General features: G+C 59.5%; 2 protein-coding genes, 1 long non-coding RNA gene and 1 other non-coding gene across 10 annotated transcripts in view, besides 2 other annotated features; 1 reads left to right on the forward strand and 3 right to left on the reverse strand.

Annotated features, from left to right (window-relative positions):
- IGF2 (insulin like growth factor 2) lies at nucleotides 765-21,214 on the reverse strand. 5 transcript variants are annotated; one of them, NM_001007139.6, is made up of 5 exons: nucleotides 20,774-21,214; nucleotides 19,214-19,455; nucleotides 7,015-7,177; nucleotides 5,165-5,313; nucleotides 765-4,871 (listed from the first exon to the last, which is right to left on the reverse strand). In NM_001007139.6, exons 3-5 carry the CDS (start codon nucleotides 7,169-7,171, stop codon nucleotides 4,635-4,637), a joined length of 543 nt encoding a protein of 180 aa, NP_001007140.2. In that variant the 5' UTR covers nucleotides 7,172-7,177; nucleotides 19,214-19,455; nucleotides 20,774-21,214; the 3' UTR covers nucleotides 765-4,634. The 5 variants fall into 5 exon arrangements, with proteins under 5 accessions (NP_001007140.2, NP_001121070.1, NP_001278791.1 ...); NM_001127598.3 differs by lacking the exons at nucleotides 19,214-19,455; nucleotides 20,774-21,214 and adding exons at nucleotides 11,783-11,947; nucleotides 12,505-12,591; NM_001291862.3 differs by lacking the exons at nucleotides 19,214-19,455; nucleotides 20,774-21,214 and adding an exon at nucleotides 12,505-12,591.
- Nucleotides 765-25,276, reverse strand: part of INS-IGF2 (INS-IGF2 readthrough) — a 32,093-nt gene continuing 7,581 nt past the window's right edge. The window contains exons 3-7 of one of the 2 annotated variants that reach the window (NR_003512.4): nucleotides 20,774-20,993; nucleotides 19,214-19,455; nucleotides 7,015-7,177; nucleotides 5,165-5,313; nucleotides 765-4,871 (exon numbers count right to left, since the gene is read on the reverse strand). Coding sequence is in view for 1 of the 2 variants with exons in the window: in NM_001042376.3 (NP_001035835.1) it covers nucleotides 19,260-19,455; nucleotides 20,774-20,993 (416 nt within the window). In the remaining variant the exon portion in view is untranslated. Of the gene's footprint in view, nucleotides 4,872-5,164; nucleotides 5,314-7,014; nucleotides 7,178-18,270; nucleotides 18,394-19,213; nucleotides 19,456-20,773; nucleotides 20,994-25,276 lie in introns of those variants that run through there. The other variant, NM_001042376.3, reaches the window with a different exon arrangement.
- MIR483 (microRNA 483) lies at nucleotides 5,782-5,857 on the reverse strand. The gene has a single exon (NR_030158.1). It is a non-coding gene; the product is annotated as a microRNA 483 (primary transcript).
- Nucleotides 6,011-6,597: an enhancer, noted in NCBI's record as "H3K4me1 hESC enhancer chr11:2155593-2156179 (GRCh37/hg19 assembly coordinates)". NCBI's record gives its function as "activates a minimal SCP1, AML or CMV promoter by ChIP-STARR-seq in primed H9 embryonic stem cells {active_cell/tissue: H9 hESC(primed)}" and the evidence as "EXISTENCE:reporter gene assay evidence [ECO:0000049][PMID:30033119]".
- Nucleotides 8,831-9,452: an enhancer, noted in NCBI's record as "H3K4me1 hESC enhancer chr11:2158413-2159034 (GRCh37/hg19 assembly coordinates)". NCBI's record gives its function as "activates a minimal SCP1, AML or CMV promoter by ChIP-STARR-seq in naive H9 embryonic stem cells {active_cell/tissue: H9 hESC(naive)}" and the evidence as "EXISTENCE:reporter gene assay evidence [ECO:0000049][PMID:30033119]".
- IGF2-AS (IGF2 antisense RNA) lies at nucleotides 12,160-20,314 on the forward strand. Of its 2 annotated transcripts, none has more exons than NR_028043.2 (3): nucleotides 12,160-12,595; nucleotides 17,893-18,175; nucleotides 18,966-20,314. It is a non-coding gene; the product is annotated as an IGF2 antisense RNA (long non-coding RNA). The 2 variants fall into 2 exon arrangements; NR_133657.1 differs by having other exon boundaries at nucleotides 18,004-18,175.

A 25,276-nucleotide genomic window follows, 5' to 3' on the forward strand; every position in this document is an offset into this window, starting at 1 on the left:
GCCTGCCCAGCACTGAAGGCTGCAGGGCCCTGGGCACACTTCTGGGCTCCTTCTGTGGCGCCCCTGTCCCTCCATCCCCACAGCAGGCGGGGCACAGGCAGATCCACTGCCCAAGGCTGCTGGAAAGTTCCTGGAGGGGGATGGAGAGAAGAGGCTGGGCCAGGCTCCCAGCAGCCCAGCCTACCCCTCCTCCCATGCTCAGGGACCCTTGAAAGCTAGAGGCCAGCACCCTTGGGACAGGTGGGTACAGGCTGAGCCCTGGCAGGAGGCAGTGGTACTAATGACATCTGGGCAGCCTCAACCTTGGAAGGGGGCTGAGTCCCTGGGTGAGAGTGGCCCTGAGCCCCCATCTCCAGCCACAGATACGGTTTCCAGAACCTTTTAGAGGTTGCCCAGCCCCAGTCCTCTAAGGCTGTTGGTGGGGGAGGCATTCCCTGGAGTTGGTACTGATGGTACTTTGCTTTTTCTCTGAAAAAGCCCCCCAGGCTCCTACCCTTCGTGGCACCCCCATCTTTGAGAACTTGGTGCCTGACACTGTCCCAGACCCCCTGGCTTCAGGTGCACGACAGTGAGTCTGAGAGTCTGGCTTCCAGCTCTCTCATTTCTCCATGTATGTGATCAGGGGACGGAGAGAGGTGTCCACACCCCTAAGGCCTTCCTTCCCCTTCCCTCTTCTATCCCCCTCTGCCTGCTTCCAGGTGCTCAGCCCCTTCCCTCCCTCTGGCAGTCCAGTACCCAAGTCAGAGAGTGGAACACTCAGAAGATCATGACTTTTAATGCTTTATTGGGATTGCAAGCGTTACAAGGTTAAAGACAAAACCCAAGCATGGGATTTTGCCGGAAATATTAGCGTTAAAGGAGTTGAGTTGAGTCAAACACGGGCCGCAAGGTGGACCGAGGCGGCAGGCACAGGTGACATTCAGTGTTTGGCGTGGGGGTCTTCAGGTGATGGCAGAGGAGGGGACCCAAGAGGGGGCCCCCCACTGAAGACATTGGGGACACGGGGAGGAGACAAGATGGAGAGCCACGACTAGGCACGGAGGTCAGACAGGCAGCCCGGGCCAGGATGGTTAGTGGCCCAGGGGAGAGCTGCAAACCTGGGGACGCAAGGGGCTGGTCGGCAAGTGCCCCCGGGAACACCCACTCCGGCGAGGCAGAATATAACACTGGGTGGGTGGGTGTCCTGACGAATGGGCAGGTAATTTGGGGTGCCTCGAAGCGTTTTGGATCTCAGGCCAATGTGGGTTCCACAATTGTGACAATTTGGCTCTTTGGGCTTCTGTCCAATGTTCCGAATGGCCCACTCACAGGGCGCTTGCCGAGGGACCCTCTGCGACTGAGGCGGACTGGCATGGACGACCCCCGGGGTCATGCCAGCCCCGTCACCAGGACCCAGAAGCCTCAGGCCTCTAGACTGCTAGTCGGGCTGCGTGCAGGGGGGCTGAGCTGGGGGCACAAGTGGGGGCGAGGTAAACCTCCCAGAGGCCGAGTCCCTGCCGCAGCCCTAGGCGCCGCGGTGGTGGCTGCTATGGCATCACCAGACCCGTGGGCTCCGGGGCCCAAGCAACCTGGTCGATGGGCAGACCTGGCAGCTCTCCTGCTCTGTGGGCTCAGACCCGCCTGACCTCCCTACTCCCCGGCCTCACCCCACCTTGCCCCCAAGAGGTCCCACAGAGCTTCGGACCTCCTGGAGACAAGGCAGGGTGCTGAGGGGCGGGCAAGATGTCACCGAGGGAGAGGGGAGGGTTCCTCAAGTGTGCGGAAGGCGGCCACCCTGCCCCAGCCTGATGGAACCCTCTGTTTACACACCTGCTAGCCCCTTCCCCTCCGGCCAGCCTCAGGCCAGCCAGGAGCCCCCTCCTGTGGCCTCCGAGCACCCTCCTGACACCTGAGGAGACCCTGCCCAACCCCCCCCTCCGCCCTCAGGACTTCTGGGGACCAGCCACTGTCCCCAGAAGCCAGGCCGGACAGTGGCCTTCTCCACTCCCCTCTGACTTCTCCAAGGGGGCTCAGTGGCCAGTGCCCCCCAGGAGGCTCCACCCTCAACTCAACCCAAGCAACAGGGACAGATGAAAAACAAAATCCAATCAGGGCGATAAATGGCGGGGGGCAGGACGTGGTGGTCTCCAGGCTGGCTTCGTGCGTTCTTGCTTTTGTCACTGCCCCCCTGTTACATGGGGGGGGGGTTTAATTTGGTTTCTGAGCGCATAAAGCTAAGGAGGGGTAAAAAAAAAACAAAAAAAAAAAAAAAAGGAAAAATGCCCCAAGAAACAAAGAGGGGGAATAGATCAATTGACATGAAATTTGGGGGTTCCTAATTTCTCTATGTAATTCTGCAAGTCTGCTGTCAATCCTCCTGACTTTTCCATCCAAAATCTCCCGGGACCACTTCCTACCCCAGAACTCCCCCCGCCCAGCCCCCACTGCCCCCCACCCACCCCTCCAACCGCCAGACTTCCCACACTCCCCGCATCAGTGCACGGCCCCCGAGGACTCCACATTTCTTGGGGGGTCCCCAGGAGACGGGCAAAGATGATCCCTAGGTGTGCTCCGGTGGGGGGGTCCCCAAGATCTTCCTTCCAGGAGCACACCAGGGAGTCAGGCTACTCGTGGGGGCATGTCTGCTCAGCTACCGCCATCTCCAATGTGGCCAAACTCCTTCCTCACTCTGGCTGGGCCAACACACAGTAAGTAAGGTGTATCGGGAATGGGTGGGGTATGGGGAGCATCGTGGCTCACGCTGCGGGGGCCGTGGGGACAGGCGCCAAGGAGGCCAGCCTCACAAGGGCATCTCTGTCATGGTGGAAAGATGGAATTAGGCCTGGGACACACCCCGCCCACCCTACGGGTGTATCCCAAATGCCGCCGGCCGCACACTCAGGCCGCACCATCTGAGCCCCCTCCTCTGAGAGGCAGGGCACAGACAGGGCCGAGGGGCAGTGGAGATGGGAACAGGAGCGGGGCTCAGACCATGAAAACATTGGAGAATCTTAGCGGGACTTTGGCCTGATCCATACAGATATCGTAGTTGCTTAGATATGCTTATTGTTTTCATCCAATTTTGTGGGGGTGTGCGTGTGTGTGCGCATGTGTGTGTGCAGGTGGGTGCTTGCGTGTGCAACGTGTGTGCTGCGTGTTTGTGTGCTGTGAGCTGTGTTCATGTATGTGCTGCGCATGAGTGTGTGTGCTGTGTGTGCATGTGTGTGCTGTGTGTTTGTGTGTGTGCTGTGTTCATGTGTGCTGTGCATGCGTGTGTGCTGTGTGTGCATGTGTGTGCTGTGTGCTGTGTTCATGTGTGTGCTGTGTGTGCGTGTGCTGTGTGCATGTGTGTGCTGTGTTTGTGTGTGTGCTGTGTGTGCTGTGTTCGTGTGTGCTGTGTTCGCGTGTGTGTGCTGTGTGTGCATGTGTGTGCTGTGTCTTTGTGTGTGTGCTGTGTGCTAGTGTGTGTGCTGTGTGTGCATGTGTGTGCGTGTGCTGTGCGTTTGTGTGCTGTGTGCTCGTGTGTGTGCTGTGTGTGCGTGTGTGCTGTGCGTTTGTGTGTGCTGTGCGTTTGTGTGTGTGCTGTGTGTGCATGTGTGTGCGTGTGTGTGCCGTGCGTTTGTGTGCTGTGTGTGCATGTGTGTGCGTGTGTGTGCTGTGCGTTTGTGTGTGTGCTGTGTGCTCATCTGTGTGCTGTGTGTGCTGTGCGTTTGTGTGTGTGCTGTGCTCGTGTGTGTGCTGTGTTCATGCGTGTGCTGTGTGTTGTGTGTGTGTAGCTGCGGGGATGCATAAAGTATGAGTGCTTTTTAGGATGGGAATTGAGATGTAAGATTTGGGGGTGAGGGTCGTGCCAATTACATTTCATTTGCATGGATTTTGGTTTTCATGCTCTGTCCTCCCCTCCTTTGGTCTTACTGGGTCCCTCTGACTGCTCTGTGATTTTTAGTGATGGAAAAGGGAGTGAGGAGCCAGTCTGGGTTGTTGCTATTTTCGGATGGCCAGTTTACCCTGAAAATTCCCGTGAGAAGGGAGATGGCGGTAGCAGCGACGTGCCCACCTGTGATTTCTGGGGTCCTTCTTTTCTCTTTGCTGGTTCAGGGACTCAAGTCCAGGCCAATTTGACTCAAAGTCCAAGGGAGAAGAGAAAGAGGGGGGTGGGGAGTGCCAAATTCCTTTATTTTGCCAATTGTTTCTCAGCCAATTCGTTTTTAATACTTTTTTTTTTTAGCCAATTGATTTTTTTTGGTGGTTGTTTTTTTTAAAGCCAATTTCTGAGCTTTTGTGGGGTGTTTCTAAAAAGCCAATTAGTTTTAAGAGGGTTGTTGTGGGGGGGGGGGAAGGGGGTTAGTTTAATGTTTTGATTTTTTATGTGTGGGGATAATTGGGGATAATTTGGGGGGAGGGTATGTGAAGGGTGTTTAAAGCCAATCGATTTTGTACATGTTTGAAGATGCTGCTGTGCTTCCTCAGCCCGATGGAGGGGGCCGAGGAGAGTAGCCTGTTTCGGGGAGGCGGGGCACGGGGACTGGGTCAGGAGAAGCCCCAGGGGGACGTGGAACCGAGAGATTTTCGGGATGGAACCTGATGGAAACGTCCGTGGTCAGGAGGAGGCTGCAGGATGGTGGCGCCGGGCTGCAGACTTGCGGCAGTTTTGCTCACTTCCGATTGCTGGCCATCTCTGGGGGGGCGCCCCCGTGGGCGGGGTCTTGGGTGGGTAGAGCAATCAGGGGACGGTGACGTTTGGCCTCCCTGAACGCCTCGAGCTCCTTGGCGAGCACGTGACCCCGGCGGGCACGCAGGAGGGCAGGCAGGCCCCTGCGCAGGCGCTGGGTGGACTGCTTCCAGGTGTCATATTGGAAGAACTTGCCCACGGGGTATCTGGGGAAGTTGTCCTGGGAGGGGAAGGGGCTGGTCAGCAGGTGCCTGCTCTCCACGCTCTTCCGCCTGAGCCGCCCGCCTGACCTGACAGGCCACCCCTGTGACTGATCAGTGACTTGAGCTAATGTCCACGGGCAGAGGGACAGAAGGAGCCAGCGTCTGAGCTGCTCCCGGGCCACACAGCAAGCAAGGAAGTCACGGGTCCTTGTCCCTGGCCAAGAGGTCCCAGAGGCCACAGGAAACGCTGGGCGCCCGAAGCCCTATTTCTCTGTCTCTAGAGAGTGGGAAAGGGGCCCAGGACCCTCACCGGAAGCACGGTCGGAGGGGTCGACACGTCCCTCTCGGACTTGGCGGGGGTAGCACAGTACGTCTCCAGGAGGGCCAGGTCACAGCTGCGGAAACAGCACTCCTCAACGATGCCACGGCTGCGACGGCTCACACGGCTTGCGGGCCTGCCTGGAAGTCCCACAGCACAGAGAGAGCCGTGTTAGCACCGCACTGACCCCAGCCCCCGGAGGCTGAAGGGGGAGCAAACCACCCCTGCCCTCAGGCCAGGCCCTGGAAGGACGCAGCCACCCTGCGGGTCAGGGGAGGGAAGTGAGAGCTGGCAGGCAGAGGCGTCCCAGGAAGAAGAGAGGTGAGAGGGGAGGTGAGTGGGACCCAGACCAGCCCGTGGCCTCTGCTGCCTCCTTCCTCAGATGAAAAATGGGCACAAGCTCTTGGTCCCACAACCAGAGGGACACCACCAGGACCAAAGGCTCACAATGGGAGTGGTTTGGAAAATGTGTGGGATGTGAGCCCAGTTCAGGGGCCCCCACAGGAGGGACTGCTGTCCCTGAGCTTGGACTCTGGCCTGGCACCACCTAGGAGGCTGGAGGGGCCCACACCACCCCTGGAGCTGCTGAGACAGGGAGACAAGGGCAGGAGAGGAGAAGACGGGAGGAGAGGAGTGAGGAGGCGTGATGGAACCACTCCCTTCTTTCCTCCCGTCTTCCCCCTCTCCCCCACAGCAATGCTCAGCTGGAAGGGGAAGGTCGCTGGGGGCTCCACCTTGGGGTGCCAAAGGGCAGGTGCCATCAGCCGGAGGAGGGAGCAGGAGCCCCATCACGGGGGTCCCCCAAGTGGGGGCTTGGCCCTCCCCTCCTCTCAGGAAAGCCTGGTGCAGGGAAGCTTCTCCCTGGGCAAGGACTGGCTGGCACCAGGCCCTGCAGTGCCACTTCCTACCCCCAAATGGGGCAGGCAAGAGAGAGGGCACAGGAGAGGCCAGGGCGGGCAGGGGCTTCCAGAGTCAAGCAGCAGGAACTTTTCAGAGAGAAGCTTTGAAGTGCATTTGCATCCTGTGAGCCCATTTCACAGCGTGAGTAAGCAGTGGTGGTAAAGATGTCACGTGGTGAGTGTCAGGTGGAATAAGCCGTGCGGCCTCTGCCAGTAAGGAGCGGCCCCTCCCCTGCCCCATCAGGCATGCCCAGGCACCATGCCTGCCTCTGCATCCACCCAGCCCCCCTATCTGGGGGTGGGGTCTCAAGGACAATGGGCCATGCACCCACCTGCCAGCCCCCAGGCTGGAGAACCAAGAGAGAAACATGAGGAAAGGCTGAAGCGTCCTTGAGGTCAGCAGGTGGGCACCCCCCACGGCAGCCTTGGGGCCCAAGGAGGCGCATGCACCGCTCACCCCTGCCACCCACCAACTGCACTTGTCTTATTGATTTTAATTATATAAATCACTTTATTGATTTTAATTCTGATCATTCACCGAACGCACGTCCCTTGTCAGAATGTCCAAAAGGTGCAGGAAGAAAGGCAGGCTCTTCCTCCAGAGCCTGAAGCCCTGCACTAGGCGTGCGGTGCCTCAGGAGCAGGAGCCTCACGGCCCCCAACAGAAATTCTGATGCCCAGGGAGACCCCTGTGAGTGCCCCTGACGTCTAGGGGGCACCTCTGGCCCACCCTTCGAAGGAGGCGTGTGATGGGAAAGGCAGCTGGTGTGGATGCCCTGGGACACCGCACGTGCTCAGAAACGCGGCGGGAAGGTCAAAGTCTCAGAGCAAGCGGCTGGGCTGCTGACCTAGGAGTGTGCTCCCCTGGCTTGAGGTTGGGCGTCCTCACCGGTCACTCTAGGGGCCTGACCAGGTCTGAGGAAGCCCCTCCCAGCTACTTACTGAAGTAGAAGCCGCGGTCCCCACAGACGAACTGGAGGGTGTCCACCAGCTCCCCGCCGCACAGGGTCTCACTGGGGCGGTAAGCAGCAATGCAGCACGAGGCGAAGGCCAAGAAGGTGAGAAGCACCAGCATCGACTTCCCCATTGGGATTCCCATTGGTGTCTGGGGGCGGGAGAGAAGTGGCGTGAGCGGGGCAGCCAGGCCAAGCCCCAGGCCAGAGGTGCCCCTCCCAAACCAAATTTGCCAACCTACAAATTCAGTTGAAAATTGAAAGCACGGCTTTCCTATAAACATTATTTTTATTACAAAAGTAACACACAGGTCATAATGCCGAGGTGAGGGCGCAGGGCCATGTGCAGAATGAAGCGTCCAGAAGCACACAGAAAAGGCCCAGTTCCTTCCATTTGCAAGAAGCACTAGTAATTTTACACGAGGGGTGACCATCTCCACGGTCATTATTGCAGGAGCTCAGCGGCATCCACAGCTGCAGGGGCCCAGGCTGGACACCCGACCTGGCCTCCGTCCTATGACACCATGGGGGCAGGGCCAGCCCAGCGTCACATCGCCACTTCTCAGGCCTCCAGCGCCAGCCAAGATGGCAGACAGCCCCACCCCTACAGAGCATGTGCATCCAGGAGGACCAGTCCCTTCCTCCCCACAACCCCCAGCTGAGCAGGGGGGGTCCAGGAGGACCATCGCCCTCAAAGCAGCAGGCCAGTCCTGCTGGGCCAGCCCCGCCCCTCCCCCTGGCTTTTCCACCTTTCCAGTCTGCAGCTGAGCCAGGCCTGGGTCAAGGACTCCAATGGTTAACACAACCACGCCACCCATGCTCTAGAAACCTTGTTTTCCCAGTCACCCAGTTCTCCAACTCCAGTCTGCCTTGGGTACCCCCAAACACACACACACACGCCCAGAGCCTCCTTTCCAGGCCTCAAATCGAACCAGTAAGGCCAGGGGCCTCCAGAACATCTCCCTATTTGCGCTACCAAACTCTCCCCGTGGGAGCTGGAGAGACCAGCTCAGGCCACCTGGGAAGTCCGACACCAGGTTCCCCAGACTACAATCTGGAAGGGGAGGCCAGTCTTAGGACACACCCCCTCCACAGGCTGCAGGGCCACAGGGCCGGGTTAACCCACTCGGGGGTGGGAGGCCGGGAGCCACCACAGCAAGTTGGCCCTGCCCCTGCAGAAGGTGGAACCCTCCAGGCGGGCAGCCCCAGCCTTCGCTCCGCAGACCCAGGGGAGTTTTTGATGCAATAAATTATGTGAGCGACTGAGCAGGCAGTGGGACAGAAGCACAACTTTGCATGCCCTCTCTAAAGACTAGTGGGCAGCTGCGCCGAGGATCTGAAAGCCTCCTTGGTCATCTCCTTGACTGGACCCTGGCCAGTCCTCTCACCGCCCCCTCTGCCACCCCCTTCCAAATTCTAAGAGCACACTCCGCCAGCTGGCCACTCTAGCCCTCGCCGCGCTTCCGCAACAAGCCCCACCACTCTGAACTTGGAGGTCCGGGTCAGGGGACCGGCAGAAAGCAGGACAGGAAGCATGCAGCGGTGCGGAGCAGGTGAGGGCCCAGGAAAAGTCCTGAGCTGGGCAAGGAGGGGGCCGAAGGGAAGGAACAGAAAGGGAAGGAGCAGGTGAGGGAGCAGAGACCAGGTGGGGGCAGGGGCAGAGGAAAAGAGGGGAGGGGGGTGCTGTCCGAGAGGCAGCGGGCTGGCGGCTGCAGGGCCCGAGGCCCAGGCGTGGGCCGTGCCCCCTGCTGCCCTGCCTCAGGCTGGAGTGGGATGGCAGCGGGGGTCCTCACTCCACAGCCCTGGTTACCTACAGCTCAGCAGAAGGCTCGCTGGGGCAGGAGGAGGAGGAGGAAGAGGAGGAGGAGGAAGCTGGAAGTCTCTTTCACAGGAGAAGCTAATGTCCAGTTTGCAGGCTGGTCAGTGCCTCAGCTTTTATGTGTGAGCCGACTCCTCCCAGCCCGGGCTCCACCCTACCCCCCACCCCTCTCCCTGCTGACCACTCCCCCGCGCCTTTGCTCCCGCCCTCTCCCTCCTCCCAGCCAGTCTCTTCTCTCCTGCACCCCCAACCGGGAGCCCTGGACCATCCCGTAGCGAAGTGCCATGGGCTCCCATCCTGCACCCCCGGCTCATCTCTGCACAGGGCAGTGAAGGGGGGGGGGGTCTCCTTCCCACCTCCTTGTATGGAAACTTCCACGCTGCCCACTGGGCAGGGGCCGCGGCCTCTCTCCGGGTCGAAGGCTCTGCCCTTCTTAGCCTCAGACCAGCAGCCCCTCTCCCCCTCTCCCGGGACTCCTGTTTGGAAATGTTGCGGACAGAGCCAGAGGGGGTGTGGGGGAGATGTCGCGAATGTGGCGTCTGCCATGACTCCTGCCAACTCGGCCCCTCTCCATCCTGGCCCCGCCCACCCCCGTCTTCCTCTCGCGGTCTCGCTGGCACCGCGTCAACATACCAGGGTGGGCTTCTGCGGCTCCGCGCCCCTCCTCGTTACCCAGCACCCCGGAGGCCAGGGCCCGCAAGGCACGAATCACACATGTGAGGCGGCACCCCCTGCACCCACAGACCGACCGGGAAGTCGCCCCTGCAGACACCTCACACCTCCCTCGGCCCTTCCCGACGCCCCCACCCCACCCCCAGCTCCGCCGCCAGGGTGAGCGCGGGGCTCCGCGCAGGGAACGGGACCCGCAGCCGTCCGTCCTCCTCCTCCTCCTCCTCCTCCCCCCCGGGCTCAGCCGCCCCGCCGAGCCCCGCAGGCCCCGGGCCGGGAGCGGGCGGAGGAAGGGCCGGGCGTCCGGCGCAAGCCCGCGCCGCCCCAGCCCCGGCCCCGGCCCGGCCCGCACACGCCGCTTACCTGGAAGCCGGCGACGCTGCCGCCCACCTCCCTGCTGCGTGTCGCAAACCGAACAGCGGGCGTTGGCCCTCCTGCCGGACACTCCTCTGCCAGCGCCGCTCTGGCCGAGTCGCGGGGGCCGAATGTGCGACGGGGCAGAGCGGGGGGATGGCTTTTTTTTGGGGGGGGGGGGAGAATTCGTCTGATTGTCCAGGGAGGACGGGCTGTCTTCGGGCTGGGGCGGGCCAGATGTTGTACTTTTCGGGGGGGAAAAGGTATCGGGAAATGAGGTCAGCTGTTGTATCAAGGATAGAGGGGGGCAGAGATAGTGGGAGAGACAGAGTGAACGTGAAAGGGGGGGGCCGAAGAGAGGGCGAGGGGGAGAGAGGACAGCGAGAGGCGGGCAGGCGCACAGCGGGAGAGAACAGCACGGAGAGAAACAGAAAGCGTGTAATTAATCCACTTTGGTTCGGCGAAGGCGAGAGGGCGGGCGTGAGGGGGGGAGGGAGTCGGAGGCTAGGAGCTGGGGGGGACGGGAGGGAGCGAAGGGAAGGTTGCGGGAGAAAGAGCGGGGGCCGGGGCCAGACGCCAAGAGGGGCGCGGGGAGCACAGAGAAGCGGAGGGAAGGGCGCCACGTCGAGGGGCCGGGGGAGGCGGTGACTGGGGGGCGGAGTGGAGGCTGCACCCGGACCGCGGGCGCCCAGCTCGGTTTGGGCCGACGGAGCCCTCTGCCGTCGCGAGCCCGGGCCTCGGGAGGGGGACAGGCGGTGGCGGCACCGGGGCCGCTCCGGGACGCAGCGCGGAAAGGGGAGCGGCCCGAGGCTGCGCGCCGGGGGGAGGGCTGGAGGGGGAGCGCGGGGGGGGGTGACAACGCCGGCGGCCTGCGAGCCGGACTGCCTGCGGGGGGAACCGCCTCCTCGGGCGAAGCGGGGATGGGGGGAGTTGAGGTAGATGAAGAGGAGGCGGCGGGGAATCCGCAGGCCCGGCGGAGCGCGACCCCGCGGACGGCGCCCGGGACGGGAGTCAGCAGCGAGGCAGCGGGCGGCGTCGACGCGGGGCCGCCTTGCCCGATGGAGGCGCTGGTGGGCAGAGCGCGGGCAGGCGTGGGCCAGGAGGCGGGGGCGGCCGGAAGGGGGGGGCCGGGGCCGGCCGGGCCTCACGCAGCTCCGCCGGAGAGCAGGCGAACTGCGGGCGCCCACGCCCGGCTCTTATAGTCGCGCCAGCCCGCGGCCCAGGGCCCGCGCGGGCCTCGCTGGCCTCGCGCCCGCGCCAATGGGCGCCCGCGGAGCCCTCGCCCCGCCCCCGGCCCGCCCCCGCAACCCGAGCCAAGAGCGGGGCGGGGGGTGCGGGCTGGGGGCCCTGGGGCCCCGGGGGGGGGGCGGCGGTCGCAGGGGCTGGGGGGTGCGCGGGGGCGAGGCTGGGTGGGGGGCAGGGAGCCGCAGAGCGCCAAGGCCATGCTGAATGCCCGTTCTAGAGAATTCAGGGGCCCCATCCCGGGTTTCTGGGGTGCCCGGGCGGCCTGTGCTCGTGAGCTGGGGTCTCCGGGCAGGCAGGGGCAGGCGGGCTCCCAGCGCCCCACCAGGAGGCTGCACTGCGGGTGCGCCCCGTCTGAGTGCAGATGCAGGTGGCTTGGGGCTGAGTCGGGGGGTCCTTGCTGGTTGTTGCGGCTGAGGGGGCCCCTGGGCTCGGGCGGGGCGCGCAGCCGCCACCTGCCCCAGCAGGAGGAGCCGGCCACGCGGCGCTTGGAGCCTCAGCCAGATCCCGAGCGCCCCCCGGTGCCGCGCCGGAGCCCCGGAGCCCCCGCCAGGTGCGGGACGCGCGGAAGGCCGGCTGCGCCGGGCCGAATCTGGGCCAGGCTTGGAGCCTACGGAGGCTCCGGCCGCCAGAGGAGAGAGGATCAGGGCGGGAAACACAGCTCAAATCCTACCTGCATGGCCGAGCTCACCGGGGTGCGTCTAAGTAGCTCGCCTTTGCGGCCCACCCAAAATATCTGGATAATGGTTACCCCGTCCTCAGTGCGTTGGACTTGCATAGACGCGAGTTCGGTCTCGGGGGCCACCACGATAATTTGGGGGTCTGGGGAAACCATCTCCTGGAGAGTTTGAACGATGTAAGAAAGCACTGTGATTTTTACCAAGTCAAAAACCACGCACAAAATCCCGCACCCCGCCAGCCCCCCGCCGCCTAAGCCTAGCCAAGGGGAAGGGGCCGCCGGCGGAATCTCGCGCCCCCCTGGCCCCCCTCGCCCCCCTCGCTCCGCCATCAATCACTTCGCCCGCGCTCCGCGCGCGCCTCCCGGCGGAGTCCTAGGCCCGCGGGCTAGAGGCACTTTACCGCCCGGCGGGAGCGCCTCTCCTCCGCGTCCCTCGCCCCAGCCCCCTGCCCGCCCCACTTTGGGACCCTCCAGCCGCTTTCCCCACAAATGAGATCTTTGCAATGAGCAAACGAAAGTGGCGCGGATTTCGGGGCGCCCAGCAGGAGCGAGCGCAGCCGCCAGCCGCAAGTCCGCAGCCGTGTCCCGCGCCCCACGCCGGCCTCCCCGGCGGCAGCCGGAGACGAGCGCCAGCACCGGCGGGACAGCAGCAGATGCGGGCCGAGAGCCGGTCAGGGGCGCAGAGGCGGAGGGGATCGGCGCGGCGGGGAGCTCACCGCGAAGCTGGAGGCTGCGTCCGCGGGCGCACCAGGAGCTCAGGCAGCGAGCGATCGAACGCTCTGTGGCAGGCGGTGGACGCTGCTGAAGGTGAGCGAGACCCCGGGGCCAGTCCTCAGTGTCCGGGAGCAACGCCCAGTCCGTTGGAAGACCCGGGGACAATGCCCAAATTTGGGGGAGACTGGGGGCAATGCCCGGTCGCTTTCCTGGACACGGGGAAGCCCTCCCTGTCCACGTCCTGAGGGCGCGCGGCCGACCCAAGTGTGTTTGGGCAACGCTAGAGAGAAATTTCCCAAATCCGAGTTGCTCTGGGGACTTCGTAGGAGACAGAGAGGCCCGAAACCAGTGCCCGCTGTGCGCGGGGTTGGGGAAGCTGCAGTGGGTGGCCGGCGAGCCGGGAACAATGCCCAAATTTTGGGGAACGCAAGGCAGAGTTCTTTCTGCCTTGCGGGCTTAGCGAATGGGTGTCCTGGAGGAGGGGACCCCGGGGACTCCGTTAATGTGGGAACCGTGATTAATGACTAAACTCGAGACTCCAGAAAAATAGATTACAGGTTTGGGGGATGAGAGAAGTTGCTCCATGCAATTGGGAACATAGAGAAAGAGGTCTCAAATAGGGGCCAGCTAGCTTGGGGGACCAATTTGTGAGGAGGGGTAGTTAAAGAAAATTCTCCATATGAAATTGGGAATTTTGCCGTAGAGCCATATTACGTAAAATTGGCAGATGAAAGCAAGGAACACATTTTGGGGATCCAAACACATTCTTGGTGTGTTAGGGGGAAGCTGAGATTAATTTTCACATCTTAAGAATATAAGTTAGTGGCCTGGACGCTGGCAGCAGCCGGGGAAAAAATAACCTTCATAATTACTGTGGCTTCAGGGAAAGGTTTTAACACCCTTCAGAGATGGAAGAAAGCACTGTCTAGATTTTGGGGGAGCCTGGAGTGTGATCAGTACATTTGGGGAAAGCAAAATAAAAAATAAAAAAATAAAAAATCAGTATTATTTTTCTATGCTAATTTTTAAATGATTTCCATTAGCTTATTTTTGGTAAATAAGAAAAAGACTATATATTTTCCTGGATGTCGTCTGCATTTGGGGGAGCCCCAGTGAAACACATTTCAAGTTTTTGGGACACATGGAAATTACCCAATGGAGATTTGATATCTAAATTTCTGGAAACCTAGTTAGTAGCTAGGAAACTTATAGGTCGCAGGTTTTTCCATGCCTGGGATTTCTTGGGACCCAGGGACATTTTTTAGTGTGCTTTGGGGGTCCATGGAACATTTTCTAAATGTAGGGGGACCCAGGGCAGGGACCATAAAGTCAGGAGACTCATAAATCAGTATTAAAAAAAAAAAAACCTCAATTGTTTTGTGAAGGGAAAAAAATCTCAATTTGCTTTGGAAGGCTGGGAGACAATACCGCAATTTGGGGGCTCCAGGAAAATCGTTTTTGAATCTAAAGATCTAGGGAAGTTGCTCAGAGTCCTTGGAGGACTTGGGGGTCCATATGTACATTTTAAAGAAAGGGGATTCAGAATTCCTAGGTCTTAGGACTTAGGAATTTTCAGATTTTGTGATAGGGAGTGTGCAGTGTGCTTGAAGGAAATATTGCTTAACTTTGAGATGACTCAGTGGGTTGTTTGGAGCCCAAGAAATCAGTGCTGTCCTGTGATCCGAGGGCAATGCTGAATGTTCCTAGAGGGCCTGGAGGGCAGCGTCCAGAACATCCAAGTATGGGGGACCAGGAAAAGGGTCCAGTGTGATCCTGGCCGTTGGGGTTTCAGACCAATGCCTGAATTTTAGAAAAGCAAGATTCTTGTTATGAAGCTCCTGGGACCCAGAGAATTGTTTAATAGTCAATATGTTGTGATGCAGAGAAAGTGCTCGGAATGTTTGGGAACTGGGGCCGTTAGCAACACCTGGCATAACAGAAATAAAAGTAGGCTCTGCCCAAGGGGTCCTTTTGTGCTTGGTGTAGCCCAGAGGGACCCGGGAGACCCTGTGTGATTTGGGGGGACCTGGAGAATCCTGGGTCACACTTGAGCACCTCCTGGTAACTGCTCAGTGTGCTCCAGGGACCTGGGTGGCACTGTCTACATCTTAAGGGACCTGATTCGTGGCCAGGCAGCATATAGAGCCATAGACGTTAATGCCCCAAAGCTTTGTGACTCACACACCCACAACATTCTCAATAGCTTTGGGGAATCACTGGGGAAATCCCTCCATTTTATGAAACTCAGGCAATCAGAGGGCAGGTCGTTTATGATTCAGAAAAGGATTCAACATGCTCTGGGTGTAATGACCGAATTTGGGGGAAGGTATGGGAAGCAATTTTCATACTCTGAGGGTTCCAACCTTCCAGCCCTGCTGAGTGTCATGAGGGACTTGGGATTCAACGTGTAAAGTTTAGGGAACCCAGGTTAGTGTGAATAGATTTGCGGGACCCAACAGCAAATGTCCCATGCTGAGGTGAACGGGAAGGGGCGCGGGGGTGGGGTGGGGGGGCGCGGAATGGGGCGGACGTGTGCCGGAAACAGTAAGCTTAGGAGACCCTGGAGTTAATATTCAAAATTATGCGGGAAAGTTCCACTTGTTTTGGAAACAATGCCTAAATGTGGAAAAGGCACTGTCCACATCCTGGGGAGCCAGGCAAATTGGTCAGCGCGACCACCACGGACCAAGGGCTTCGTCTTTAAAATTAGGGAAGCCGGGTTAGTGGCCTGTAAATCTGTGGGACCTGGAGGGGGTGTATAAAACTGTCCAGAGCCTGGGAGAAAGCACATCTGGGGCCCCAGGCCACATAGTGTAAGTCTGGAAAAGCCCGCCGGGACTGATGTGTTTTGACGTCCCCGGAAATTAACGTCCAAGAAAATTATTGTGACCCGTCGAAATGGTGAGTATATTTAGAAGACTTGGGAAGCAATGCTTAAATTTAGAGGATCCCAGAAAAAGTAAAATGTCCGAGTTCGGGGAAAGCAGGGAAGTTGTTCCGTGGATTGGAATCCCCCGAGGATCAAGGGCTAATTGTTGAGCTCAAGCTTCCCGGGCAGCGGAAGGAAGGCGCTGCCGGGGATTCACCTTGGCTGGGGCGCGCGCGGAGCACTGGCGCCCTCCCCGGGAACCCGAGCGCGGGCGGCGCGGGCAGGTAGCGCGGAGCGCCCTGGCGCGCACGGCCGGCTGAAATTCTGCTTTTCGTTCTTTGGGGTTTTTCTTCCTTTTGCTTTTATTTTTTTTTTTCTTTGCCTTCTCCACACGGAGAGCGCGTTTGTGGCGGCAGCCCGAGCTTAGCGGGCGTCCGGGTGTAAGGAAGAAACCCAAGGGCCGCGAGGGAGCGACCAGGACGCTGCTTCCCGGGCGCTCCCGGGACTCCCAGATACCTGCTCGGTCCCCGCGTGGGAGGTCCGCAGGCTCCCCCTCGCCACTGCGCCCCACTCGCCTCCGCGCTGCGAGCCTAGGCGAAGCCGCGGCCGAGCCGCCACCGGGGGCAGGCTAGTCCCCGGCTTGGCTTGGGGGCCCGGAGCACCCCCGGTGGCCACCTCCGGCCTGCCCCGGAGCTTTGCGCGCGCCGTTCGGGCCTTCGCCAGCACCAAACAAGGGTGAAACCAGTTTTGTTTGGGTAACACTGAAGAGCAGAGGAAGTGGGGAGGAAAATGAGAAACACGGGGCCCGGGAGGAGGGGGGTGCAGGGCTGCACGCCGCTGGGGTGCCAGGGGTCTCTTTTCGTTCTCTCCAAGCGAATTTTCAGGGAAAGTCTGTCCACTCCGGCTGGGGAAAGCCCAGTTCCTTATAGGCAAATATTAAACCCGCATGCAGGCGCCCAACGGCCCTGTCGGCAGGAACAAGGTCACCCCTTGGCGTTGGGCAATGTCGGGCGATGGGGCAGTGGCCCTAAGGGGACCTGTGGGGTGGGTGGGGGTACTGCCAGAGAGGGGGCACCGCTGGGGACCAGCAGAATGGTGGGGGATCCTGGGGCAACTACAGTGGGCATTGCTTGTCCCCATTGTCACCCCATAGGAGGACCCCGGCTAGAAGGGGGGCATCTCAAAGCCTGACACTGGGGAGGCAGAAGTTAATGGCCTTGGACAGGTGTGGGGAGCTGGGCAGGATGAGGCATCTCTTTCACATTAGCTTGGCAAGACAGGGAGAACCCGCCCCCACCATGAAAAACAGCCCATTTTCCACCCACAGAACAAGACACGTGGGAATGTCCCCTTCAAATTTCTGTCTGCATCAATCACCCCCATGTCCCATTCCAAGAACATCTGGCCCATCTCTCCCCACCCATCACTGCCCCCCTTCCCACCAGCCTTCTGCAGCCTCCCCGTGTCCCCAGCTCTCTGGCCTCTCCGGCTGTGCCTATAGAAGGGGGAGCCTCCAGCAGAGAACCCCTGGCTGTGTTGATGTTTTCCTCTGCAGGGTGACTTGTAAATTTGGGGGTGAGGAGCATTTGAAAGGTGCCTGTCTGCAAACCTGGTCCCCGGGAGAGCGGACTAGGTTGCCGAGGCTCCCGTCATGGACAAAACCAGGGCCCCCAGGGCCAGCTCTAGGCTCCCCCCACCTTCTCCTCCACGCCTGCTTCCCAGGCTGGGGACAGGTTGGGCATCGGGGGTGAGCCCCAGTTCCGAGTTGTGGGTTCTCCTCCTCTTTGGGGGTGCTGGGGACAATTACACCAGTGACCTGTTTGGGGGTCCCTTCCCTTTGTTCTGCCCTGCCGAGGTGCCTTCCCCCAGGGGGCCACCGCTCATGCTTGAAAATGCATGCCTGGACTTTTTAAGGTAGGAAGAAGGCTGAGGGTCACCTTGGGGTGCCCACAGCAGGGTGTAGTGGCCCTGTAGGGAGGGAGGAGCAGGTGGGGGAGTGGGGGTGCACACATGTTCCCCCTCCCTCGTGGGGCTGCCTGCTGAGTGCTCTCCTTATTTAGTCAGAAGTGACCAGGGCAGGCTGGAGGCTGGGGCAGACGCGGGTCACCCTGAGGCTCGAAAAGCACACCGGCTCCCCTCTAGTCAAGACCAGCATCGGGGTTCTTCCTCAAGACTGGCTCCTCCCCCACTACTTCCAGCCCCCGGAGGTAGGAAGGGTCCCGCCAGCAGTCCAAGGGTGTTGGGAGGGGGCCAGGGTCTCCTCCCACCCAGAGCTTGGCCGGCAGGAACTTTAGCCCCAAGCAGCGTCCGCCCCCCAGCCCTGAACCAGCACCTCACCAGGGCAACGCTGGTCTCCTCTCCACTGGCAAACCCACATTCCACAGAGGATGAACATCCCCTCAAGGACTCAGACTCACCCCATGGAGCCTGGCCCATGCCCCAGCCTCGGCCTGTGGCTGCTCCCCATCCCCTCGCTCACCAGCCCTGAAGTGGGCCTTTCTCATTCCCATTTCCTCCCCAGCTCTGGCTCTGAGCTCACCGCTCCGCCGTCCGTGGGACCAAGCCCAGCATTTTACAAACCCAGCTCCTTTCTCCAAGGGTCCTCAGAGCGCCCCTCCGTCACCCCCTGCAGGGCGCCGCAGACGAGGCGCTGACCTTGCGCTCACTCCCCTCGCTGGGGAAGGACACACTCGCTGGCGTCAGCCCGGCCGGCCTGGGAAGTAGGACTAAGGACCCGAACTGCAACCCTCCACACCAGACAGCACAGACCACCCCAAGGCTGCTCAATCTGCCCAAAGCCAAAAGTACGTGGGGGATATGGGTCCAGGTTGGGGTGCTTGGGAGAGGGCCCTGGGAGAGGGGTTCAGACGGTGCACACTCCAAAGGACTGAGGCGGCGCCACTGTGTTACCATTTTATTGAGTGTCTAAGGTAAAGACACCTTTGAAAGAACACTCCCGGCTTCTATCTGGGATGGGCAAATCAGCCTGAAGAGTCACCTGCTGGATCCCTCCCTGCAGGCCCTGTCGTGGGGCAGGTACAGGGACTCCAATCCATGTGCCTCCAGCTCCAACGCTCCCCAAGTCCTGGAGCCTCCCCTGTCACCCCAGTGCCTGACCAGTGAATGGGTGCTGCCCCCACTACAGAGCTCCCTCTGGCTGAGGCAGAGGCCACTGGCTGGGCCTTTCTAGCCACCTTTCACCCCTCTTGCACACGGGAAGCCCCGCAGGCTCCTGACCACAATGGGATCCTGACGCCGGAGCCCCTTAGGCCCTTTGCTCAGAAGGCCTCTGGTTATTACCTCAATTCTGAACAGCCAGGAGGCCTGAGACTGTCACCCACTTTGATAAATACAGACCGACAGAAAGGTCAGGCCATTGGTGCAAGACCCCATGGCCAGCAGCCTGGGGCGGGGAGAACCCGGGGGTCTCACAGCCCCCAGCAGAGCCCAGCTTTCCTTGGGTTTTTAGGTTCTTCCCCAATGATATTTTCCCTTTTTCCCTCTCTACCCACTTTCTGCCCCCCATCTTCTCCCCTTTGGCTGCCCGCTCTCTCCCTGCCCCTCTCCCCTTCTTTGCCCTCTTTCGTCTCCCAGGAGCTCCCCTGCCAGGACCTCGGTGCCGTGGAGACTGCGGGGAACCTGCTCTGCCCACACCTGCTCTGGCCCCTAGACGGAAGCACCTGGAGCCAACCACGGAACTCCAGATCCCAGCTGTGTGACTGAATCCACGCCAGCCTCTCTGAGCCAAAGCTGCTTGCAGAAGGGGGAGATCCCAGTTCGAAGACTCCCGCGCAGAGCCTGTGGCCCTCTCTGCCAGGCCTCAGGGTGCCTGAGACACTCACCTCTCTGCCTCGCAGTTGGGGCTGAGGCTGGGGCTGGCTGCCAGCCTCAGTTCTGGGAGCGCTGGGGTCGCCTGGGCCACAGGCCACAGCAGCTCACCTCAGGACTGGGCTCTCTGGCCTGCTGGGGCTCAGGCTGTGGGGCAGGCTGGGCAGGGGGCTGAGCTGGCAGCGATTCAGAGCCCTGGGGCTGGGGGCTGGAATCCACCTCCTCCCACACAAGCTCGGTGGTGACTCTTCGGCCCCTGGGGAAAAACAAAAAGATATTGCTGAGATGACCTCTTTTAAAAGCAAAGCCCCCCTCCCCATACACCCCAAGCCTGAGCCCTGTCCCATCCCCCTCCCCGGGTTCCTTCAGGTCACCTTGTCAGGATCTGGGCAGCGGCTTCCCCCTCTAGCCCCTCCCCTGCCTAGAGCTCCCTCTTTCAAAGTATAAGGGAGGGAAGAAGTGGTGAGAAGTTTGCCTAGAAAGGGCTTCCCGGTGCTGATGGAGAGGCCGAGACCCTTCTGTTGGACAGGCTGCCCTGTTCCTGGGTGAGGATGGGCTTCTGCCTGGCACTGGGGGTGGAGGGTGCACACGAATGGCCCGCCTTGAGGGGTCATGGCACGGAATATGAAAGCCTCCTCCACCTCCAAACACCCCCACCTTGGAAGGAGATAAGGAGGGGGCCCCAGCAAAAGCCACTGGACACACAGCTCTGCTTGACGAGGCCAGTGAGGGACGGCGTGGCTGTGCTTCCTGGGGAAATGAACCCCCTCCCCACAGACACCACCCTGGGTGGATCGAGGAGTCTGGGTCCAGGGTGCAACAGAGAAAAACTTCATGCATGAATGAGCATTCCCAGGGAAACTGCCTTGGCCCCAGGGCGCCTCTCTGTGCCAGGGAGGCTGGGAGAGCAGCAAGGGGGACCAGGTGCGCCATCAGGAGGAGAGAAGCTAAACCTAGGGGGGACATGGAGGGCGGTTGTTGCCTCTCCCGGCATTTCTCCTCAGTCTCCTGTCCAATTTCTTGCTGGTGGTCAGGAGGCATAGGGAGGCAGGAGGGAAGGAAGCTTTACCTGTAAAATGGTGTATATATGTATAAATAAAATCTCTGCGCCAGAATCTCGGGCCCCTGGCTCCTCTGCAAAGTCTCCTGTTTGTCTCTGGGAATGGGATGGGGGATGCAACGGGAGGAAACTTTTCACACAGAAAGACTCTTCCTTTCACACTTGTGAAGACAGCTGTGTGTTCCCGCTGGGAAGAGCGGCCTAGCCCTCCTCCCCTACCCCTCCCATTTTGCTTGGTGAATTAGTCAAGGAAAACCTATTTTCCTTGCAAAAGCCTCAGTGGCTTTGTGCAGCCCTAAAGGAGAACCCTCTCCACAATGGCCTTTCCTGCACACCCCATCCCTGAAGTTGAGGCTGCTCTCAGGAGGCTTCCCTGCACCCTCCAGCAGCAGAAGTTCTTCCCCTCCTTCAGAAACCAGGATCCTGGCAGCTGCCCCAAGCTCCCGGCCCACCCACGCCTGAACACTTAAAGTGCAGCTTTTCTCTCACACTCAAGGGATGGGAGCCCAGTTACCTGTACTCTAGTCCCTGCGCAGTCCCCGCAGCTCCTGGACAGTGGATAAAGAGGACCGGGGAGTCACTGGTGCCCAAGGCTCTCTGCCGAAACTGCCTGGACGATGATCCGCCGGCCTGGCCAATATTAGCAGTCACCACCAAAGCAGGGGGTGCCCTGGCTGTGGCGTCCAGACCCTCTGGCCAGGTTGACGTGGAGGAGGAGAGGGACAAAGCTGAGGCTGGAGAAACGAAGGGCACTTTTAGAGTGTGCATGTTAATACGGCCCCTACAGATGGGAGAGCCTCATCTCCGCTGAGCATGGCACCTGCTCAAATGCCAACTGAAATGATGGGTTTACCCCTCACCTCCTCATCCCCTCCACTCGTTTCCCTGAGCCCCTCCGAATTTGGGGAGCTTTGTGCCAACTTGGTAGTGCTGAGGCCGCTGGGGCAGCTGGCTCAGGCACTTTCCAGCACCAGGGCATGGTACATTAGCGGGTGGAGGTTTGGCCCACCCCTGACCTGGCAGAAAGGCGCCTGTGGGCGTGGGCATAAGCCAGAAGCTCCCTGCCAGCTAGGAGGTGGGGGCTATGTGGAGGTGGTGGGGAGTGGGTGTAGCTTTACTTAGAGTGACACTTGGCAGTTACTTGACACCCTGGAATGTTGGTGGACGTGGCACTGGTAAAATGGCGGGGGGGGGGGGAATAAGGGGGACAAAGCAGGGTTCAAGAATCAGCAGAAAAATTGGATTTTAGGTGCTCCCGGTACAGTTATGTACTGTGCAGTTATGTCCTTCCATCTTCCATGAGCAAGGTACTCAGCTGGGGGGTTTTTCACTTCACTGGTCACGTCTGATCTGACCTCAGACACTCCCTGTGTGGTACTAAGCTCTAATGACACTGCTGCAGGGGGCACTTGCAGGCATTTCTGGATTGGGCGATTGGACAGGTTCGCAGCCTTTCTAATTAAAGCACAGACTCAAAGCTGACAGCAGCTGGGTGAGGGTTCATATAGAAGCATCCACCAGATTGGACTAAATCACACTGGAAATTTCTAACCTCTTCCCCAAGCTAGCAAAGACTCAGGAAGAGGCAAAGACGTGTACTTTCCAGAGAGCCACCAGTCCCCCCCTCCAACACCCACGCACCCCAACCACCTTCAGTGTGATTAGTTTTACTAGCCTGTGTTGGGATTTAATTGTCCCCTCTCCCTTTTTCTTTCAAGCCCTCGTCTTAAATCCCTTCATTAGCTGGAGGAATAGGACATCTAGTGGGGACAACAAGGATTTCAGCAGGGAAGAGAGTTAGACTTGAAGGGGATTCAAATCTGGCATGTGTTGGGGGATGTCTCAAATAAGACGTAGATGCCCCAGAGCCATGCCCTCCCATGGGAGGAGGGAAAATGGGATTTTTCACTCGGCTTTTGGGTGGGGAGGGATGTTAATGGCCCTGTCAGGTCCAGAGCACTGAATGGGTTCACAGTCTTTCCAGCTAAAGCACAGACTCAGAGCTGGCAGCAGCTCAGGGAGGGCTCAGATAGAATCACCCATTGGATTAGATCAAGTCTTACTGGGAATTTGACACCTCTTCCTCAAGCCTGCAGGAAGAGAAGGCACAAAACAAAGACTCAGGGAAAGAAACAAAACAAAGATACAAGGAGGTCAGCATGAAGCAGCCCTTGCTCCGGGGCTCTATGGCTTAGAGACCCCGTAGCATGTGCTGGTCCCAGTGTCTGCTGCAAGATGCCCAAATGTTGCAAACAGCGACTGCCAGAGCCCTCTGGAGACACTTGGCTGGGACTTTCCAAGCTGCAGATGGACCTAGAGAGAGTGACGGGCTGACACCCAGCCAGATGAAGTGATTCCATGGGATGCCCCCCCAAATGAACAGTCCCCAGGTTGAGGAGGTGGGCAGCTATGGGGCTGAAAGGGAAGCAGCCCACAGGTCAAACTCCTGGAAACCTGGAGCCTCCCAGGCCCACAATGGTGTCTTGAATCCAAACTCTGCCCTGGACTGGAATTCCATCTCTGGATGGGCCCAGGAGGAGCTCACTCTAGTCTCCAAGGCTATTTTATCCCATCAGGATCTTGGAACCCAGGGTGTGTAAACAGGAGAAGGAGAGCAGGGAGAAGCGGTCAGGATAGAAAGGGCCCCCGGGGAGCAGCTAAGCCATGGTGCCACCGAGGCAGGACTAGAGGCATTGGGGATCAGTGAGTTGGGGTGTGAGGGCTGTGGCCCCACAGCACTACATTCCACAGATTTTCCACGCAAGGGTCTGGGGGACACATGCTTTATGGAGACAGGTGAGAGGGACCGCAAAATGGACAAAAACTGGGGTGCAGGATTGAGGGACACGACATAGAAAAACCTCCTTGCTCCACTGCCTCTTAGGCCTGGGAGAGGCTCAGCCCACCCCTGTTCATGCATGAGAGTCTTGGGAACCCCCAGAAATCTGCTACACCAAGCTTTCGCCATTTAGCCTCTTAAGTGGCCTTATGCTGACACCTGGCGGCCATTTCTAGAATTACAGTGGCATAACCCAAAGGTCTTGGGCGCCGCAATTTGGGGCACTCTGGAGGGGGACTCTGGGGGCAAAGTCAGGACGCCTCCCTACAGTGTCAGGGTGCCATGGGTCCTGCACCTTTGTGTTTGGAACCGGGGCTCTTATCTGCTTCTGTCCCGGCATTACAGGACTGAGAGGGGGCGCTGAGGGAATTCCTCCCTTCGGGTGTCTCCTAACCCGAGGGGGCTGTGGCCTGGTGAGCATCCTAAAGCTTAGGGCCTAAGCCACAGGATAGGTCTGGAACACCTTTCTGAAGCATCCGTTTTGTTCTAAGAGAGGAAACCACCACATTAGCATGAACATAAAATGAGATCTATTACTGAGAGGCCCGGGGCAGAACGTTGAGACCCCCTTTCAGAGACAGCGTCCCTAGGATGAGCCCAGATGGGCTGAATTTCGTTCTTAACTCGCTTCCCCAGCCCCACCCGGCTCCACCTGTAAAGCGGAGATTTCCTAATCTGGCCCGAGCCTGACACCATGTGGCCACTTGTGAGAATTGCATCCACAGCTTCAGAAAGCACCGCCAGTAAATCCATATTGCCATGACCGTAGCTACAGGGCCGCTTAACAAACCTTGGGAATTGAGAGAAGAGGAGGAAGTAACCCACAACCTAGTCCTGAAAACACCAGACTGTGGCCCCAGAGCCCTACACCATCGAGGTACTGGAAGGCCAGGCTGCCTCTGCTGGGGAAGTGAGGCCGTCCTTCAAAGGCTATAGGGCCACAGCCCGAGGGGCTGGCAGGGCCAAGGGGACCACTGTGCCACTCGCACATCAGTGCTTGGAGGACGGATGGGCAGGAGGGGCCTGGGGGCTAACCCAGTTCACAGCCGCGCTCTGCCAACGACCTTGGACAAACCAGTTCATGCCTCCCCTCTCCCTTCCAACCTCACGGCTACAGTGGATGGGTCTGGGTAGCCACCTCTGGCACAAAATCAATGTTAATAAACGTTCGATTTTATCCTCCCCCTGACGTAAAGTGACATTTGCCCCTGCCTCCCCTACCCACAGGTCCACAGGTGCCGAAACCTTTTTTGGTGGTCATGTGCTCAGCAACTCTTCGGCAGGCCTAGGCAGCTCGGGAGCTCGCTGCAAAGACTCCTCCACCTGCTCCAGCAAAACTTGCTGGCTGGCAGGGGTTGCAGTGAGCTGAGATCGCACCATTGGACTCCAGCCTGGATGACAGAGCAAGACTCTCAAAAAACAAACAAGCAAACAAACAAAAAACAAAACAAAACTTGCTGCCTGGGAGGACTCTGGGGTTTTCACAGCCTGTGGCCCATGAACAGGAGGGAGGCTCCAGGAGCACAGATTTCAGCAGTGGGCCGGATCTGCATCCCTGGCAGTGGGGGCCCAGTATGGACCCATCCTCAAGGCCTCAGTGCCAGCAAGGCGGGAGACACGTCTTCCAGGAAGCCTCCCCAGCCCCACTCCCTGCTAATTTCTGCCTTCTCTGTTCTGAGCTCTGATGGTGCAGCTGAGGTTTCTCCCTGCCCTGGGCTTCCTTGGATGCTGGGCTGGGGGTTGAAAGAGCTGCAAAGACCCCTTCCCTGTGATGGGCCTCAGGGCCACGGATTGTACCTGGGTGTTGCAGGCACCTCAGAGCCCCTCCTGCTTGTTTTTTTGATTGTTTTGATTTTTTTGTTTTTGTTTTTTTGAGACGGAGTTTCGCTCTCGTTGCCCAGGCTGGAGTGCAATGGTGCCATCTCGGCTCAGCGCAACCTCTGCTTCCCAGGTTCAAGCGATTCTCCTGCCTCAGCCTCCCGAATATCTGGGATTACAGGCATGTGCCACCACACCCAGCTAATTTTGTAGTTTTAGTAAAGATGGGGTTTCTCCCTGTTGGTCAGGCTGGTCTTGAACTCCCGACCTCAGGTGATCTGCCCGCCTCAGCCTCCTAAAGTGCTGGGATTATAGGCATGAGCCACCGCACCCAGCCTCTCCTGCTTGTTTTACTCTAAG

This window comes from Homo sapiens, chromosome 11 (assembly GCF_000001405.40).
Source record: "Homo sapiens chromosome 11, GRCh38.p14 Primary Assembly".
NCBI lineage: Eukaryota > Metazoa > Chordata > Mammalia > Primates > Hominidae > Homo > Homo sapiens.

Coding starts and splice junctions, on each gene's coding strand:
- IGF2 (NM_001127598.3), bottom strand. CDS start 11,944: ATGGTTTCCCCAGACCCCCAAATTATCGTGGTGGCCCCCGAGACCGAA. Junction 7,178..11,782: donor CGGTGAGCTCGGCCATGCAG/GTAGGATTTGAG, acceptor TCCCGCCCCCAG/ACACCAATGGGAATCCCAAT. Junction 5,314..7,014: donor GGACCGCGGCTTCTACTTCA/GTAAGTAGCTGG, acceptor TGGGACTTCCAG/GCAGGCCCGCAAGCCGTGTG.